This window comes from Homo sapiens, chromosome 16 (assembly GCF_000001405.40).
Source record: "Homo sapiens chromosome 16, GRCh38.p14 Primary Assembly".
Lineage (NCBI taxonomy): Eukaryota > Metazoa > Chordata > Mammalia > Primates > Hominidae > Homo > Homo sapiens.
The window spans coordinates 35,222,367-35,238,097 of NC_000016.10; the positions used below are offsets into that span (position 1 = coordinate 35,222,367).

At 43.8% G+C, this 15,731-nt stretch overlaps 1 long non-coding RNA gene and 1 pseudogene across 2 annotated transcripts in view; one reads left to right on the forward strand and one right to left on the reverse strand.

Annotated features, from left to right (window-relative positions):
- Nucleotides 1-15,731, forward strand: part of LOC105371200 (uncharacterized) — a 36,762-nt gene that overhangs the window by 14,418 nt on the left and 6,613 nt on the right. The gene's annotated exons all lie outside the window — the stretch shown is intronic.
- On the reverse strand, nucleotides 10,092-10,683 carry FGFR3P5 (fibroblast growth factor receptor 3 pseudogene 5; annotated as a pseudogene).

Genomic DNA, 15,731 nt, shown 5'->3' on the forward strand with positions numbered 1-15,731 from the left:
CCTCCCTACTGTTCCCGGAGACCCTCTGTGCTTCTCTTGATCAACCTCCTCCCTGACCGCTTCTCTCTCCCCATCCTGAATCTCTGGGCTCCCACAAGGTGCCTTCCATCCCGGGGCCCAGGCAAAACCGACAAAATTATTTCAAATGGGAACATTTGAATTCCACTGAATTCATGTCAGCATAAACCCTTCTGGTCAGATTTTAAAGAATTACGAAATGATAATAGCAACTATCAATTTGAAGTGTAACCAGGGTTAAGAATACCCATCATTTTACCACCACCACTAAGGAAACCCTGTTAGAGCTAACAAACTAGTACAGTAAAATTGCAGCATACAATATTAACATGAAAATCAGTTGTATTTTGATACAGTAACAACAAAATACCTGAAAAAGGAAGAAAACAATTCCGTTTACAATATTATCAAATAGAATGAAATACTTAGTTCATTAAATAGAATGAGTTTAACCAAGAAAATTAAAGATCTGCATACTGAAAACTATAAAATGTTGATGAAAGAAATTGAAGAATACAAAATGAGAACTATATCCTGTGTTCATGGATTCTAAAAAATAATATTGTTAAAAATCTATAGTGCACAAAGTCATCTACAGAGTTAAAGAAATTTCTATCAAAATTTTAATGCCATTAAAATAAATGTAGAACAAACAATTGTAAAATTAGTATGGAGCCACAAAAGACGCCAAATAGCCAAATACTGAGAACAAAAAGGCTGAAAGCCTCAAACTTCCTGATTTCAAACTATATTACAAAGCTATAGTCATTAAAATAAAATAGTGTAGTATCTACATGAGAACCAGTGGAACAGAATAGAGGACCCAGAAATAAATGCACGCGTATACAATCAACTGATCCCACAGAATTAGGAGAAGATAGACACATCAAGAAATGGTGTAGAAAAAACTAGATATGCGCACACAAAAAGTGAACCCTTCTCTTATATAATTAGAAAAAATGAGCTTAAAATAAATTAAATACTTAAACATAAGAACTGAAATTATGAATCCTCTAAAAAAATAGAGAAAAAGCTCCTTGACACTGGTCATGGCAATGATGTTTTGGATTCTACACAAAGAACACAAGCAACAAAAGCAAAAATAAAAAAGTGATACTATATCAAAGCAAGAAGTTACTGCATGGTAAAAGAAAAAATCAACAAAATACAAAGACAATATATGGGATGGGAGAAAATATTTGTAAACCATATTAGGATAATAAGTTACTATTCAAAAAATATATAATACTAATCAATACAAAAAAACCAGCAGAACAAAAAATCCATTTCCTTGATTAATTGGGCAAAATATCAATTTTTTCCAAAGACATAGAAATGGCCAGCAAGTATATAAAAAGTATATATAAAAATCTCAACATCACTAATTCTCGGAGTAATTAAAATCAAAATTACAATGAGATATCATCTTATCATTGTGTTAGGAGAGCTATTATCAAAAAGTCAAAAGAACAAAGTGTTAGGGTGCACAGAAAGGAGAATATTTGCACACAGTTGCTGAGCATATTCATTGGTGCAGCCATTATACAAAAAAAAAAAGAAAGAAAAAAACAGTATGGAGTTTCCTTAAAATTTTTAAACTAGAAGTACCATTAATCTCAATTTGGAGTATATTGCCAATGGACATAAAATAAGCATAGCCAAGGGTATCTGCACTTCTCTGATACAAATAAATGGATAAACTGTAAGAGAATTTCAGCCTTAATAAGGAATGAAATTCTTTCATTTACAACAATATTGATATACCTGAAGACATTGTGCTAAGTGACATAAATGAAATACAGAAAGACAAATACTGCATGATCTCATTTGTATGTGGAATATTTAAAAAAAGAAAAAAACAGAGAACAAGGGTAGTTACCATGGGCTAGGAAGTGGGGAAAACTGGGGAGATATCCATCAAAGGGTGCATACCTTCAGTTATATAATGAAAAACTGCCGGGGACCTAATGTGCAGAATGGTGACTGTAGTTAATAATAATGTGTAGTTGAAATTTATTACTAAAGTAGATCTCAGATGCTTTCACCACACACACTGAAATGTATAAAGTAACTATGTGAGGGGATAGATATGTTAACCAGCTTCATTGAGATAATTTAAAGATGTATACACATCTCAAAGCACTCTATTATACACCCTAAATAGATACACTTTTAAATACGTAAATCATAGTTCAATAAATGTGGAAAAAATTAAGAGTAATCAGCAGGTCATATCTAGCCACATGTAAACTTTATTTAAAACTCTCTTGGCCACTGTTTCTGGCTCAACCCGAGAACTTCCGGACCACTTCTGGCCCCTTAACTTCGACGCTCCTCCTGCTGTTCCTGTAGCTGAGGAAGATATAATAGTTCCCATGGGTGGCCAGGTGCAATGGCTTATGCCTGTAATCCCAGCACTTTGGGAGGCCGAGATGGGCAGATCACCTGAGGTCAGGAGTTCAAGACCAGCCAGGACAACATGGTGAAACCCCATCTCTACTAAAAATACAAAAATTAGCTGGGCCTGGTGGCGTGAACCTGTAATCTCAGCTACTCAGGAGGCTGAGGCAGGAGAATCACTTGAACCCGGGAGTCAGAGGTTGCAGTGAGCCAAGATTGCACCACTGCACTCCAGCCCAGGCAACAGAGTGAGACTCTGACTTAAAAAAAAAAAAAGTTCCCAGGGATTTTCTGCTTCCCAGGTGGTGCAGATCAGGCAGGACCATCAGCCATCCCCTTGCTTGTTGCCCACAGCCCCGTTTGGCTCCAGGCAACGTGTGTCAGGGAGTGTTGGCGGGGGCTGCAGCAGCCAGCCTGGGCGAGGCTGCCTTTCGCTGCCTGCACTTTGATGTCTGATAAGGCCCCAGTGCAGCCCCTCCTCACACTACCTGTGAAGGCAATGTAACTGCAGAAGATACTGAGGAAGACAATGAAAAAAAAATGCCACCCATGTATTAGAGTAATTGTCATTAGATCACTTATGTTGCAGACAGGGTCACTGTTTATATTTTTTTATTTTTTTATTTTTAAATTTAATTTAAATTTTATTATTATTATACTTTAAGTTTTAGGGTACATGTGCACAATGTGCAGGTTAGTTACATATGTATACATGTGCCATGCTGGTGCGCTGCACCCACTAACTCGTCATCGAGCATTAGGTATATCTCCCAATGCTACCCCTCCCCCCTCCCCCCACCCCACAACAGTCCCCAGAGTGTGATGTTCCCCTTCCTGTGTCCATGTGTTCTCATTGTTCAATTCCCACCTATGAATGAGAATATGCAGTGTTTGGTTGTTTGTTCTTGCGATAGTTTACTGAGAATGATGATTTCCAATTTCATCCATGTCCCTACAAAGGACATGAACTCATCATTTTTTATGGCTGCATAGTATTCCATGGTGTATATGTGCCACATTTTCTTAATACAGTCTATCAATATTGGACATTTGGGTTGGTTCCAAGTCTTTGCTATTGTGAATAGTGCCGCAATAAACATACGTGTGCATGTGTCTTTATAGCAGCATGATTTATAGTCCTTTGGGTATATACCGAGTAATGGGATGGCTGGGTCAAATGGTATTTCTAGTTCTAGATCCCTGAGGAATCGCCACACTGACTTCCACAATGGTTGAACTAGTTTGCAGTCCCACCAGCAGTGTAAAAGTGTTCCTATTTCTCCACATCCTTTCCAGCACCTGTTGTTTCCTGACTTTTTAATGATTGCCATTCTAACTGGTGTGAGATGGTATCTCATTGTGGTTTTGATTTGCATTTCTCTGATGGCCAGTGATGATGAGCATTTTTTCATGTGTCTTTTGGCTGCATAAATGTCTTCTTTTCAGAAGTGTCTGTTCATATCCTTTGCCCACTTTTTGATAGGGTTGTTTGTTTTTTTCTTGTAAATTTGTTTGAGTTCATTGTAGATTCTGGATATTAGTCCTTTGTCAGATGAGTAGGTTGCAAAAATTTTCTCCCAGTTTGTAGGTTGCCTGTTTACTCTGATGGTAGTTTCTTTTGCTGTGCAGAAGCTCTTTAGTTTAATTAGATCCCATTTGTCAATTTTGTCTTTTGTTGCCATTGTTTTTGGTGTTTTAGACATGAAGTTCTTGCCCATGCCTATGTCCTGAATGGTAATGCCTAGGTTTTCTCCTAGGGTTTTTATGGTTTTAGGTCTAACATTTAAGTCTTTAATCCATCTTCAATTAATTTTTGTATAAAGTGTAAGGAAGGGATCCAGTTTCAGCTTTCTACATATGGCTAGCCATTTTTCCCAGCACCATTTATTAAAGAGCGAATCCTTTCTCCATTGCTTGTTTTTCTCAGGTTTGTCAAAGATCAGATAGTTGTAGATATGTGGCGTTATTTCTGAGGGCTCTGTTCTGTTCCATTGATCTATATCTCTGTTTCGGTCCCACTACCGTGCTGTTTTGGTTACTGTAGCCTTGTAGTATAGTTTGAAGTCAGGTAGCGTGATGCCTCCAGCTTTGTTCTTTTGGCTTAGGATTGACTTGGCGATGCGGGCTCTTTTTTGGTTCCATATGAACTTTAAAGCAGTTTTTTCCAATTCTGTGAAGAAAGTCATTGGTAGCTTGATGGGGATGGCATTGAATCTGTAAATTACCTTGGGCAGTATGGCCATTTTCATGATATTAATTCTTCCTACCCATGAGCATGGAATGTTCTTCCATTTGTTTGTATCCTCTTTTATTTCCCTGAGCAGTGGTTTGTAGTTCTCCTTGAAGAGGTCCTTCACATCCCTTGTAAGTTGGATTCCTAGGTATTTTATTCTCTTTGAAGCAATAGTGAATGGGAGTTCACTCATGATTTGGCTCTCTGTTTTTCTGTTGTTGGTGTATAAAAAGAAAGAAGAATCAAATAGACACAATAAAAAATGATAAAGGGGATATCACCACCAATCCCAAAGAAATACAAACTACCGTCAGAGAATACTACAAACACCTCTACGCAAATACACTAGAAAATGTAGAAGAAATGGATAAATTCCTCGACACATACACTCTCCCAAGACTAAACCAGGAAGAAGTTGAATCTCTGAATAGACCAATAACAGGAGCTGAAATTGTGGCAATAATCAATAGTTTACCAACCAAAAAGAGTCCAGGACCAGATGGATTCACAGATGGATTCTGGCCAGGGCAATTAGGCAGGAGAAGGAAATAAAGGGTATTCAATTAGGAAAAGAGGAAGTCAAATTGTCCCTGTTTGCAGACGACATGATTGTATATCTAGAAAACCCCATTGTCTCAGCCCAATCTCCTTAAGCTGACAAGCAACTTCAGCAAAGTCTCAGGATACAAAATCAATGTACAAAAATCACAAGCATTCTTATACACCTGCTCCTGCCTAATTGCCCTGGCCAGAACTTCCAACACTATGTTGAATAGGAGTGGTGAGAAGTCATCCCTGTCTTGTGTCAGTTTTCAAAGGGAATGCTTCCAGTTTTTGCCCACTCAGTATGACATTGGCTGTGGGTTTGTCATAGATAGCTCTTATTATTTTGAAATACATCCCATCAATACCTAATTTATTGAGAGTTTTTAGCATGAAGCGTTGTTGAATTTTGTCAAAGGCCTTTTCTGCATCTATTGAGATAATCATGTGGTTTTTGTCTTTGGTTCTGTTTATATGCTGGATTACATTTATTGATTTGGGTATATTGAACCAGCCTTGCATCCCAGGGATGACGCCCACTTGATCATGGTGGATAAGCTTTTTGATGTGCTGCTGGATTCGGTTTGTCAGTATTTTATTGAGGATTTTTGCATCAATGTTCATCAAGGATATTGGTCTAAAATTCTCTTTTTTGATTGTGTCTCTGCCTGGCTTTGGTATCAGGATGATGCTGGCCTCATAAAATGAGTTAGGGAGGATTCCTTCTTTTTCTATTGATTGGAATAGTTTCAGAAGGAATGGTACCAGTTCCTCCTTGTAGCTCTGGTAGAATTCGGCTGTGAATCCATCTGGTCCTGGACTCTTTTTGGTTGGTAAGCTATTGATTATTGCCACAATTTCAGATCCTGTTATTGGTCTATTCAGAGATTCAACTTCTTCCTGGTTTAGTCTTGGGAGAGTGTATGTGTCGAGGAATTTATCCATTTCTTCTACATTTTCTAGTTTATTTGTGTAGAGGTGTTTGTAGTATTCTCTGATGGTAGTTTGTATTTCTGTGGGATCGGTGGTGATATCCCCTTTATCATTTTTTATTGCATCTATTTGATTCTTCTCTCTTTTCTTCTTTATTAGTCTTGCTAGTGGTCTATCAATTTTGTTGATCCTTTCAAAAAACCAGCTCCTGGATTCATTAATTTTTTGAAGGGTTTTTTGTGTCTCTATTTCCTTCAGTTCTGCTCTGATTTTAGTTATTTCTTGCCTTCTGCTAGCTTTTGAATGTGTTGGCTCTTGCTTTTCTAGTTATTTTAATTGCGATGTTAGGGTGTCAATTTTGGATCTTTCCTGCTTTCTCTTGTGTTCATGTAGTGCTATAAATTTCCCTCTTCACACTGCTTTGAATGCATCCCAGAGATTCTGGTATGTTGTGTCTTTGTTCTCGTTGGTTTCAAAGAACATCTTTATTTCTGCCTTCATTTTGTTATGTACCCAGTAGTCATTCAGGAGCAGGTTGTTCAATTTCCATGTAGTTGAGCGGTTTTGAGTGAGATTCTGAATCCTGAGTTCTAGTTTGATTGCACTGTGGTCTGTGAGATAGTTTGTTATAATTTCTGTTCTTTTACATTTGCTGAGGAGAGCTTTATTTCCAAGTATGTGGTCAATTTTGGAATAGGTGTGGTGTGGTGCTGAAAAAAATGTAGATTCTTTTGACTTGGGGTGGAGAGTTCTGTAGATGTCTATTAGGTCCACTTGGTGCAGAGCTGATATCAATTCCTGGGTATCCTTGTTGACTTTCTGTCTCGTTGTCTAATGTTGACAGTGGGGTGTAAAATCTCCCCTTATTAATGTGTGGGAGTCTAAGTCTCTTTGTAGGACACTCAGGACTTGCTTTATGAATCTGGGTGCTCCTGTATTGGGTGCATATATATTTAGGATAGTTAGCTCTTCTTGTTGAATTGATCCCTTTACCATTAAGTAATGGCCTTCTTTGTCTTTTTTGATCTTTGTTGGTTAAAGTCCGTTTTATCAGAGACTAGGATTGCAACCCCTGCCTTTTTTTGTTTTCCATTTGCTTGGAAGATCTTCCTCCATCCCTTTATTTTGAGCGTATGCGTGTCCCTGCACGTGAGATGGGTTTCCTGAATACAGCACACTGATGGGTCTTGACTCTTTATCAAATTTGCCAGTCTGTGTCTTTTAATTTGAGCATTTAGTCCATTTACATTTAAGGTTAATATTGTTATGTGTGAATTTGATCCTGTCATTATGATGTTAGCTGGTTATTTTGCTCGTTAGTTGATGCAGTTTCTTCCTAGTCTCGATGGTCTTTACATTTTGGCATGATTTTGCAGAAGCTGGTAGCAGTTGTTCCTTTCCATGTTTAGTACTTCCTTCAGGAGCTCTTTTAGGGCAGGCCTGGTGGTGACAAAATCTCTCAGCATTTGCTTGTCTGTAAAGTATTTTATTTCTCCTTCACTTATGAAGCTTAGTTTGGCTGGATATGAAATTCTGGGTTGAAAATTCTTTTCTTTAAGAATGTTGAATATTGGCCCCCACTCTCTTCTGGCTTGTAGAGTTTCTGCCAAGAGATCCGCTGTTAGTGTGATGGGCTTCCCTTTGTAGGTAACCCGACCTTTCTCTCTGGCTGCCCTTAACATTTTTTCCTTCATTTCAACTTTGGTGAATCTGACAATTATGTGTCTTGGAGTTGCTCTTCTCGAGGAGTATCTTTTTGGCGTTCTCTGTATTTCCTGAATCTGAATGTTGGCCTGCCTTGCTAGATTGGGGAAGTTCTCCTGGATAATATCCTGCAGAGTGTTTTCCAACTTGGTTTCATTCTCCCCGTCACTTTCAGGTACACCAATCAGAAGTAGATTTGGTCTTTTCACATAGTCCCATATTTCTTGGAGGCTTTGCTCGTTTCTTTTTATTCCTTTTTCTCTTAACTTCCCTTCTCACTTCATTTCATTCATTTCATCTTCCATCGCTGATACCCTTTCTTCCAGTTGATTGCATTGGCTCCTGAGGCTTCTGCATTCTTCACATAGTTCTCGAGCCTTGGTTTTCAGCTCCATCAGCTCCTTTAAGCACTCCTCTGTATTGGTTATTCTAGTTATATATTCTTCTAAAATTTTTTCAAAGTTTTCAACTTCTTTGCCTTTGGTTTGAATGTCCTCCCATAGCTCGGAGTAATTTGATGGTCTGAAGCCTTCTTCTCTCAGCTCATCAAAGTCATTCTCCGTCCAGCTTTGTTCCGTTGCTGGTGAGGAACTGCATTCCTTTGGAGGAGGAGAGGCACTCTGCTTTTTAGAGTTTCCAGTTTTTCTGCTCTGTTTTTTCCCCATCTTTGTGGTTTTATCTACTTTTGGTCTTTGATGATGGTGATGTACAGATGGGTTTTTGATGTGGATGTCCTTTCTGTTTGTTAGTCTTCCTTCTAACAGACAGGACCCTCAGTTGCAGGTCTGTTGGAGTACCCTGCCATGTGAGGTGTCAGTCTGCCCCTGCTAGGGGTTGCCTCCCAGTTAGGATGCTCGGGAGTCAGGGGTCAGAGACCCACTTGAGGAGGCAAACTGCCCGTTCTCAGATCTCCAGCTGCGTGCTGGGAGAACCACTGCTCTCTTGAAAGCTGTCAGACAGGGACACTTAAGTCTGCAGAGGTTACTGCTGTCTTTTTGTTTGTCTGTGCCCTGCCCCCAGAGGTGGAGCCTACAGAGGCAGGCAGGCCTCCTTGAGCTGTGGTGGGTTTCACCCAGTTGGAGCTTCCCGGCTGCTTTGTTTACCTAAGCAAGCCTGGGCAATGACGGGCGCCCCTCCCCCAGCCTCACTACCGCCTTGCAGTTGGATCTCAGACTGCTGTGCTAGCAATCAGTGAGACTCCGTGGGCGTAGGACCCTCTGAGCCAGGTGCAGGACACAATCTCCTGGTGCGCCGTTTTTTAAGCCCTTCGGAAAAGCACAGTATTCGGGTGGGAGTGACCAGATCTTCCAGGTGCCTTCTGTCACCCCTTTCTTTGACTAGGAAAGGGAACTCTCTGACTCCCTGCGCTTCCCGAGTGAGGCAATGCCTCGCCCTGCTTCGGCACACGCATGTTGCGGGCACCCTCTGACCTGCGCCCACTGTCTGGCACTCCCTAGTGAAATGAACCGGGTACCTCAGATGGAAATGCAGAAATCACCCATCTTCTGCATCGCTCATGCTGGGAGCTGTAGACCGGAGCTGTTCCTATTCGGCCATCTTGGCTCCTCCCTCTATTAAAATAAATTTTTTAAAAAACTGAAAAAAACAGACATCAGTGTTCATTTAGTTAATAGTATTCCATTATCAAGTGTATCCATTTAAACTCCAGAAAATAAAATAAAATGTATTTTAGCATTATTTTTATTGTAATAAATACAGGTTGGTAGAAAACTCATAAATATGAAAGGAACTAATTCTACATGTCCAGAATGCCCATCCTAATTTTTTGTTTTACATCTATTATAAATCAGATAGATTCTGTTCCATATTTTATAGTGGACCTTAACATAAAACTTAAATTGTTTAATTTGTGAGATTGATTATAAGCTCACCAGGGAGGTTTTCACTCAGTGTGGGAATTCAGAGAGCATAAAGTTGCAAAAGCAGAAGCAAATGTTTTGAATAAATCCTGAAGGACAATACTCACAGGAGTGGTTCCCACTTTTATCAGTTGACTCATATAATCTTACTTTAGGAGAAACTGCCTCTAATTGTAGACACTGGTTCATAGCAGATGCTAAATGAACCAGCACCAAGTTCATATTCAGAACTGCTCACTGCAGAGGATTTTGTCTCCTGGCTGATGACATGATTGTGTCTTTCAGAAGGTACTCCACAACTTCTATAATGATGGTAGAGTTCAGTGAAGGGGAGCCCCAGGTCTGCCATCCCCATGTTCCTGGACAGCAGCAGCATCTCCCCTGAGCATGGTGACATAGGCATGCCATTGACACCCACCTAGCTGCTGTTCACCTCCACATAGTAGGTCACTGTACACTTTGCAGTGGAACTCCACCTTGCTGTGTCTGGTTGGCCAGAAGCCCAGTGGGTAGAATGGGATGGTCAAGAGAGCACATTGAGAGAATAGATGAGAGCTCAGAGGCTGCCCACCTTCCTGACCCCTGCCCATGGGCCACAGCCCTCACCCAGCTGTCCAGCGTGTATGTCTGCTGAAGGCTGTTGAACTTGTTCTCCATCACAGAGGTGGAGTGACAGCAGTCTGAGGGCACCATACTCCATGAGCAGGCTCTACTGCTGGTGCCACAGCTCCAGGTGGAAGTGTGGGTGAATGGAGGACAGGTCCCACCTTTCACAATCAGGCCACATTCCCACCAACTTCCAGGGACCCCTTGATGTCCTGATGTGATGCTCTGCTTAGAACCCTTGTGGTTCTTCAGCCAGGAGATGGAGAGAGTGGGGTTGCCAGTAGCCAGGCAGCGAAAGTTGGTTTGGGTGGCCAGCATGGTTGGCAGTTTCCTGTCCATCTACTGGAGCCAAGTCCAGTAAAAGGCCTCTGCTTGTGGAAGTGCAAGTGAGGGCCGTAGCTGAGGTGAGGCGCGGAGGCCCATCTGACCAGACCCTGAATCCAAGGCTGCCCTTTCTCAACCCCAGCCTCAGTTTTTCCTCCTGTATAGGGAGAGTGTTGGCCTTTCAAGGACCTCTGCCTGGGCTGCATGAGGCTCCCAGGAACTTCAAAACAATGTCCCTGCCCCGTCATGCTCACAGCCGGGCCATGTGTTCCCTCCCATTCCCTCTGCTTCTCCCAAGTTGCTGCTCCTGCTGAGAGGTCGGGGTGCTTCATCCTGGCCTGATAGCCTCAGGGCATAAGGGAGTCTCCAGGGAAGCCCCCACCCACCCAGGGAGGCACACTGGGAGGACCCCCCAGGACGGAGACCCAGCAGGCAGCTCAGCTAAGTGAACGAGCCAGGACAGGCATTGGGAGCACTTTACCAGGAGGGAAAACTCAGCCCCTTACAGAGCTGGGAGTCTCAGAAGCAGCTGAGAAGCCTTAGCCTGCAAGCCTCTGAGCCCTGAAGCCACCTCCTGCAGAGCTCCAGGGCACAGCGGGCACTGGTGAGGATGGCGTCCTGGAGCCCTCAGGTCTTTTTTTGTCTTAGTGTCCAGTGCTGTTACCATTCCCTCCCACACAGCTCAACGAATTTTTCTTACTTCTTAGGACTGGGGTGGGTCAGCCTTCCTGTCTGGACTCGTGGGTAGGCTGGATTGCCTTACCCCCAGGACAGAGGCACTGGGGGCCTAGGAAAGAGGACGGAGGGAGCCCCTTTCCAACAGTGACCTCCTTGCCATTCACGTGCAGCAACAGGCCCACCTCTCAGAGGAGGATGCTGAGGCAGAGGCAGGAGCAATGTAGAGAGACACTGGGAAGAGACACCTATCACAGCTCCAAGCTGTCCTCTAGGCATCCAGGGGTGAGGGAAGGAGGTCCCTGGGTGATGAAGACAGTTCAGTGGGCTGTGGCAGAAACTGTTCCCAGGACTTGGAGATGACAATGACTCAACGCTGCCCACTTCTAGACTGTACCTTCTGAAAGTGGCCCTTTAGTTACTCCCACAGCTCTAGCCCACACCTGCCTAGGATGGCCAGGTAGGCAGAGGCAAGCAGAGACTCAGGGCGAGGGCACTAGGGTATGTGGGCAGGGGGAGAGGCCAATGGGGCAGGTGAGCAGAAATTTTCATCCTGTTCCTGGGTCTACTCCTCTCCTTGGGCCTACTTTCCTTTTTTTCTCTCTCCTGTGTCTCCCTGGCTGATTCTTTCTCACTTTCTTGCCTGCTTATCCCAGAGGTCCCAGGGGCTCAGCCCACCACCAATGGTCCCCAGGTTGTAGCTGCCCCTTCGATTTCCATCCCACAAGGACCCTCATCTGCATGAGCACATCTCTGGGATCCTCTGAAACCAGAAGCCCCACCTCCCTGACAGACCCCTCCACAGCTGGGCAAAGTCCACCTGCCACTCTTCCAGGCCAGAATGCCTAGGCATTGTCTCCCTTCCTGATCTCTCACGCCCACAGTCCATCCCCCAAAAATGCTGTTGGCACCCCTTTTACAGCCCCCACAGCCACCCTCCCCTCCTGCTGGGCTGTAGCTTTTATCTCCTGGTGCCTTAACCCTTCCATCCATCTGCCCCACGGCAGCCACCTGAGTCCATACCAACTGCTGTGCTCACACCTGCAGTAGTCACCTCACCCAGAACCCCAACATAAAAGTCTCCACAGGCCAGTCCTGGCCTCCTCACAGCTCCTGGGACCCCAAGAGGCCTTGCCTTAATCTCCCCATCTGCAGCATGGGCATCTCCTCCCACCCCCAGCCAGCCACCCAGAGCCCAGCACAAAGCATCGAGGGACATCTGGATGGCCCAGCCCCACCTTCACCCTGAGGGGATGTCAACCATTGTGTGACTCCAAGGAGGTCATCCCCAGGCCTCAGTTTCTCCCCTGCTACTCAAGGCCACAGCTAGTTGGAAGGAAAGCAGGCCTCACCCCTAGACAATCTGTGTGCATGGAATCTGATCTTGCCTGTGTCTTAGCTTGGTCCTCCCATCTTCCCCACCTCCCAAGGATGGAGCATCTGCAATGTAGGGGAAGGTGGGAGTGGACAGTGGCCCCAGGATGGCCCAAGTCCAGATGCCTGCTGCTTCTCAGCTGGGGGCAATGGATTTCTGTCTGGATCTCAGTCTTTGTTGTGCCCCAGGGAACCCCAGGTGGCCCTCACAGGTGGGGCTGGAACCCCCTTTTCAGGCATTATCTCCTGGGGTGAACTCCTATTCACCAAGATCAGGGAGACCCTCAGAGCAGGGGTGCTGCACCCACACCTCCTGAGACCCCAGCAGCTCCTGGCCATGCACCCACTCAGGGAACTCAGTGGCCCTGGACCCCTCCATCCAGTTTCATGCAGCCCCAGAAGGCAAACATGGCCAAGTGCGTGGCTCACACCTGTAATCTCAGCACTTTGGGAGGCTGAAGCGAACGGCTTGCTTGAGCCCAAGATTTCAAGACCAACCTGGGCAACATGGCAAAACCCCATCTCTACAAAAAAATTATTAAAAATTAGCTGGTCATGGAGGTACATGCGTATAGTCCCAGTTAGGAGGTTGGGGTGGAAGGATCACTTGAGCCCAGGAGGTCAAGGCTGCAGTGAGCCATGACTGTGCCACTGCACTCCAGCCTGAGTGACAGAGTGAGACCATGTCTGAAAATAAAAAAAAGCACTCACCTGTCACATAGACAACAAAAGGGCACAGCATGCATGGGGTGAGCCCTGGCAGCTCTAGGACCCAGCATCCTGCTGAGAGGCATCCAGCACCCACAGCTCCTGGGGCCCCACAAAGATGTGATCCAGGAAACCAGTCCTGTGCCATTGTTGACCAAGAGAGTGGCTTCATCAAACCAACTGTTGTAGAAGACCAACTGCTCTTGTTGGCTGGGCTCAGGCCTGGGACCTCTGCAAGTCAGGTGGGTGACTGGCAGGAAGATACCCCAAAACCTGGCACAATGAGGCTCAACACCCCCATGGTAGGCAAAGTGATACCCCCACTTTACTGACACACCAGCATGGGTCTGAGACTTAGTAGGTGCTCAATAAACATTAGTAGATCAATGAACGCTCATTAATTTGGACAGTAAAATTGTGTCTATGGTACTCCAAGAGAAGACTGATACGATAGTCTCCCATTATCTACTGTTTTGCTTTCTGGGGTCTCGGTTACCTGCAGTCTGAAAATACTATATAGAAATTTCCAGAAGTAAACAACTCATAAATTTTAAATTGTTCACCAATTTTGAGTAGCTTGATGAAATCTCACACTCACCTGGGATGTGAATCATCTTTGCTCAATGTTTTCACTCTGTACCTGCTACTTGCCTGTTAGTCATGTTAGTAGCTGTCTCGATTATCAGATTGACTGCTATGTTATTGTAATGCATGGGTTCAACAAACTCTTATTTTGCTTCATAATGATTCCAAGGCACAGAGCAGTGATACTGGGAATTCAGATATGCCAAAGAAAAGCCATAAAGTGCTTTTTTAAAAAACGAAAACCCAAAAGTTCTAAGCTTAATAAGAAAAGAAAAACAATCTTGTAGGCTGAGGTTGCTAATGTCTATTGTAGGAACAAATCTCCTAGTGGGAAATTGTGAAGAAGCAAAACGAAATTTGTGTATAGTATAGGTAAGGTGTGGTACTATCTTTGGTTTCAGGCATTCAGTGGGTTCTTGGAACATACATAGTCCCCGCAGACAGGGGGGGATACTGTACTTGACTTTCTTAGTTTCATCTGTTGTCAGCAGTAGAAAAATACAGCTATAGGCAAAATGTATATTGTCTCACTTGGGAGCAAACTTTGTGAGACTGAGTGGGCTTCTATTTGTTGAACGAGCAAAAAGAAGCAGCCTTGTATGTGGGGAGCAACCTGCTCATGCCACTGTCTCCATGGGTCTACAGCTGCCACCCCCGCCTTGCCTACTGTCCTCTCAAAGGCCTGGAGTTGACAGAACACAACCCACACACTGCTCAGAGCCTTAGGGACATGCCTAGAGCCACTGGTTTAACTTAAAAACCCAAATAAGGCTGAACTGAGTCAGTTGGCTACTAAGCTGGAGAACTATATGGAAGAGTGAAGACTGTCTGAGGGCCTTTGGATATCTCTGAAGGTTTTGTTGGAGTGGGTGAGCTGATGTCCCATCAGTATTGAGAATATTAATAATAACATCAAAGATATTAATAAGAATGCCAATAATAATTCATGCCAGTTACCCAGCATGTGCCAGGACTTGCATTCATTTCAGGAGTATGACTCTGTTGAATCATCAGACAGATCTATGAGGTGAATGCCCTTATGCCCACTGCACTGAGGACTGGCCTCACTCAGGCCAGAAGCAGCAGGTCTCCATCGAGATCACACAGCTGCTGAGCTGCAAAGCCCCACCAACCTCATCACTAGGCTTGTGATGTTATAGCATCACATCTCTTCCCATTTGGGAATTTCTGTGCTCTGGGTCTAGGTATCAGTGATATAACAACCCAGTGGGAAGAGTGTGTCAGTACTTCTGAGGATGCCCAGGCTCCACCAAGTTTCCTGACCCATGCTGTTAGGAAAATACTATATCACTTGGATGTTCTCCCAATGCCTGTTCTCTTTTCTGTCTCAGTAAAGGGCCCCACTACATCTCTGGAAATTCTTCTGACTTGACTAACATGTAGCAGTAGTCTTGAAGATCCTTTGCCCTTTCATGCAACAAATCAACAGGTCCTATAGCCTCATGCTCAAATGTATCCCCAATCCACCTACTTCATTCTGATTCTGCATCACCCAGTCAAAGCCACCATCACTTTCACCTGACCTGTGACAAAAGACTGCTTGTTTCCATATTTGCCCTCTTTAGAATGCATTCTCCATAAAACACCTGGAAAAAACTTTTGAACATCTGATTCTTATTGTGCCTCTTGCTTAAAACCCTCCAATGACTTCTCACTGCATAGGGAATGAAATCACAGTCAGGTTTACATGTCTTACCAAGACCCTGTGAGTTCACCTCCTCCCCTTG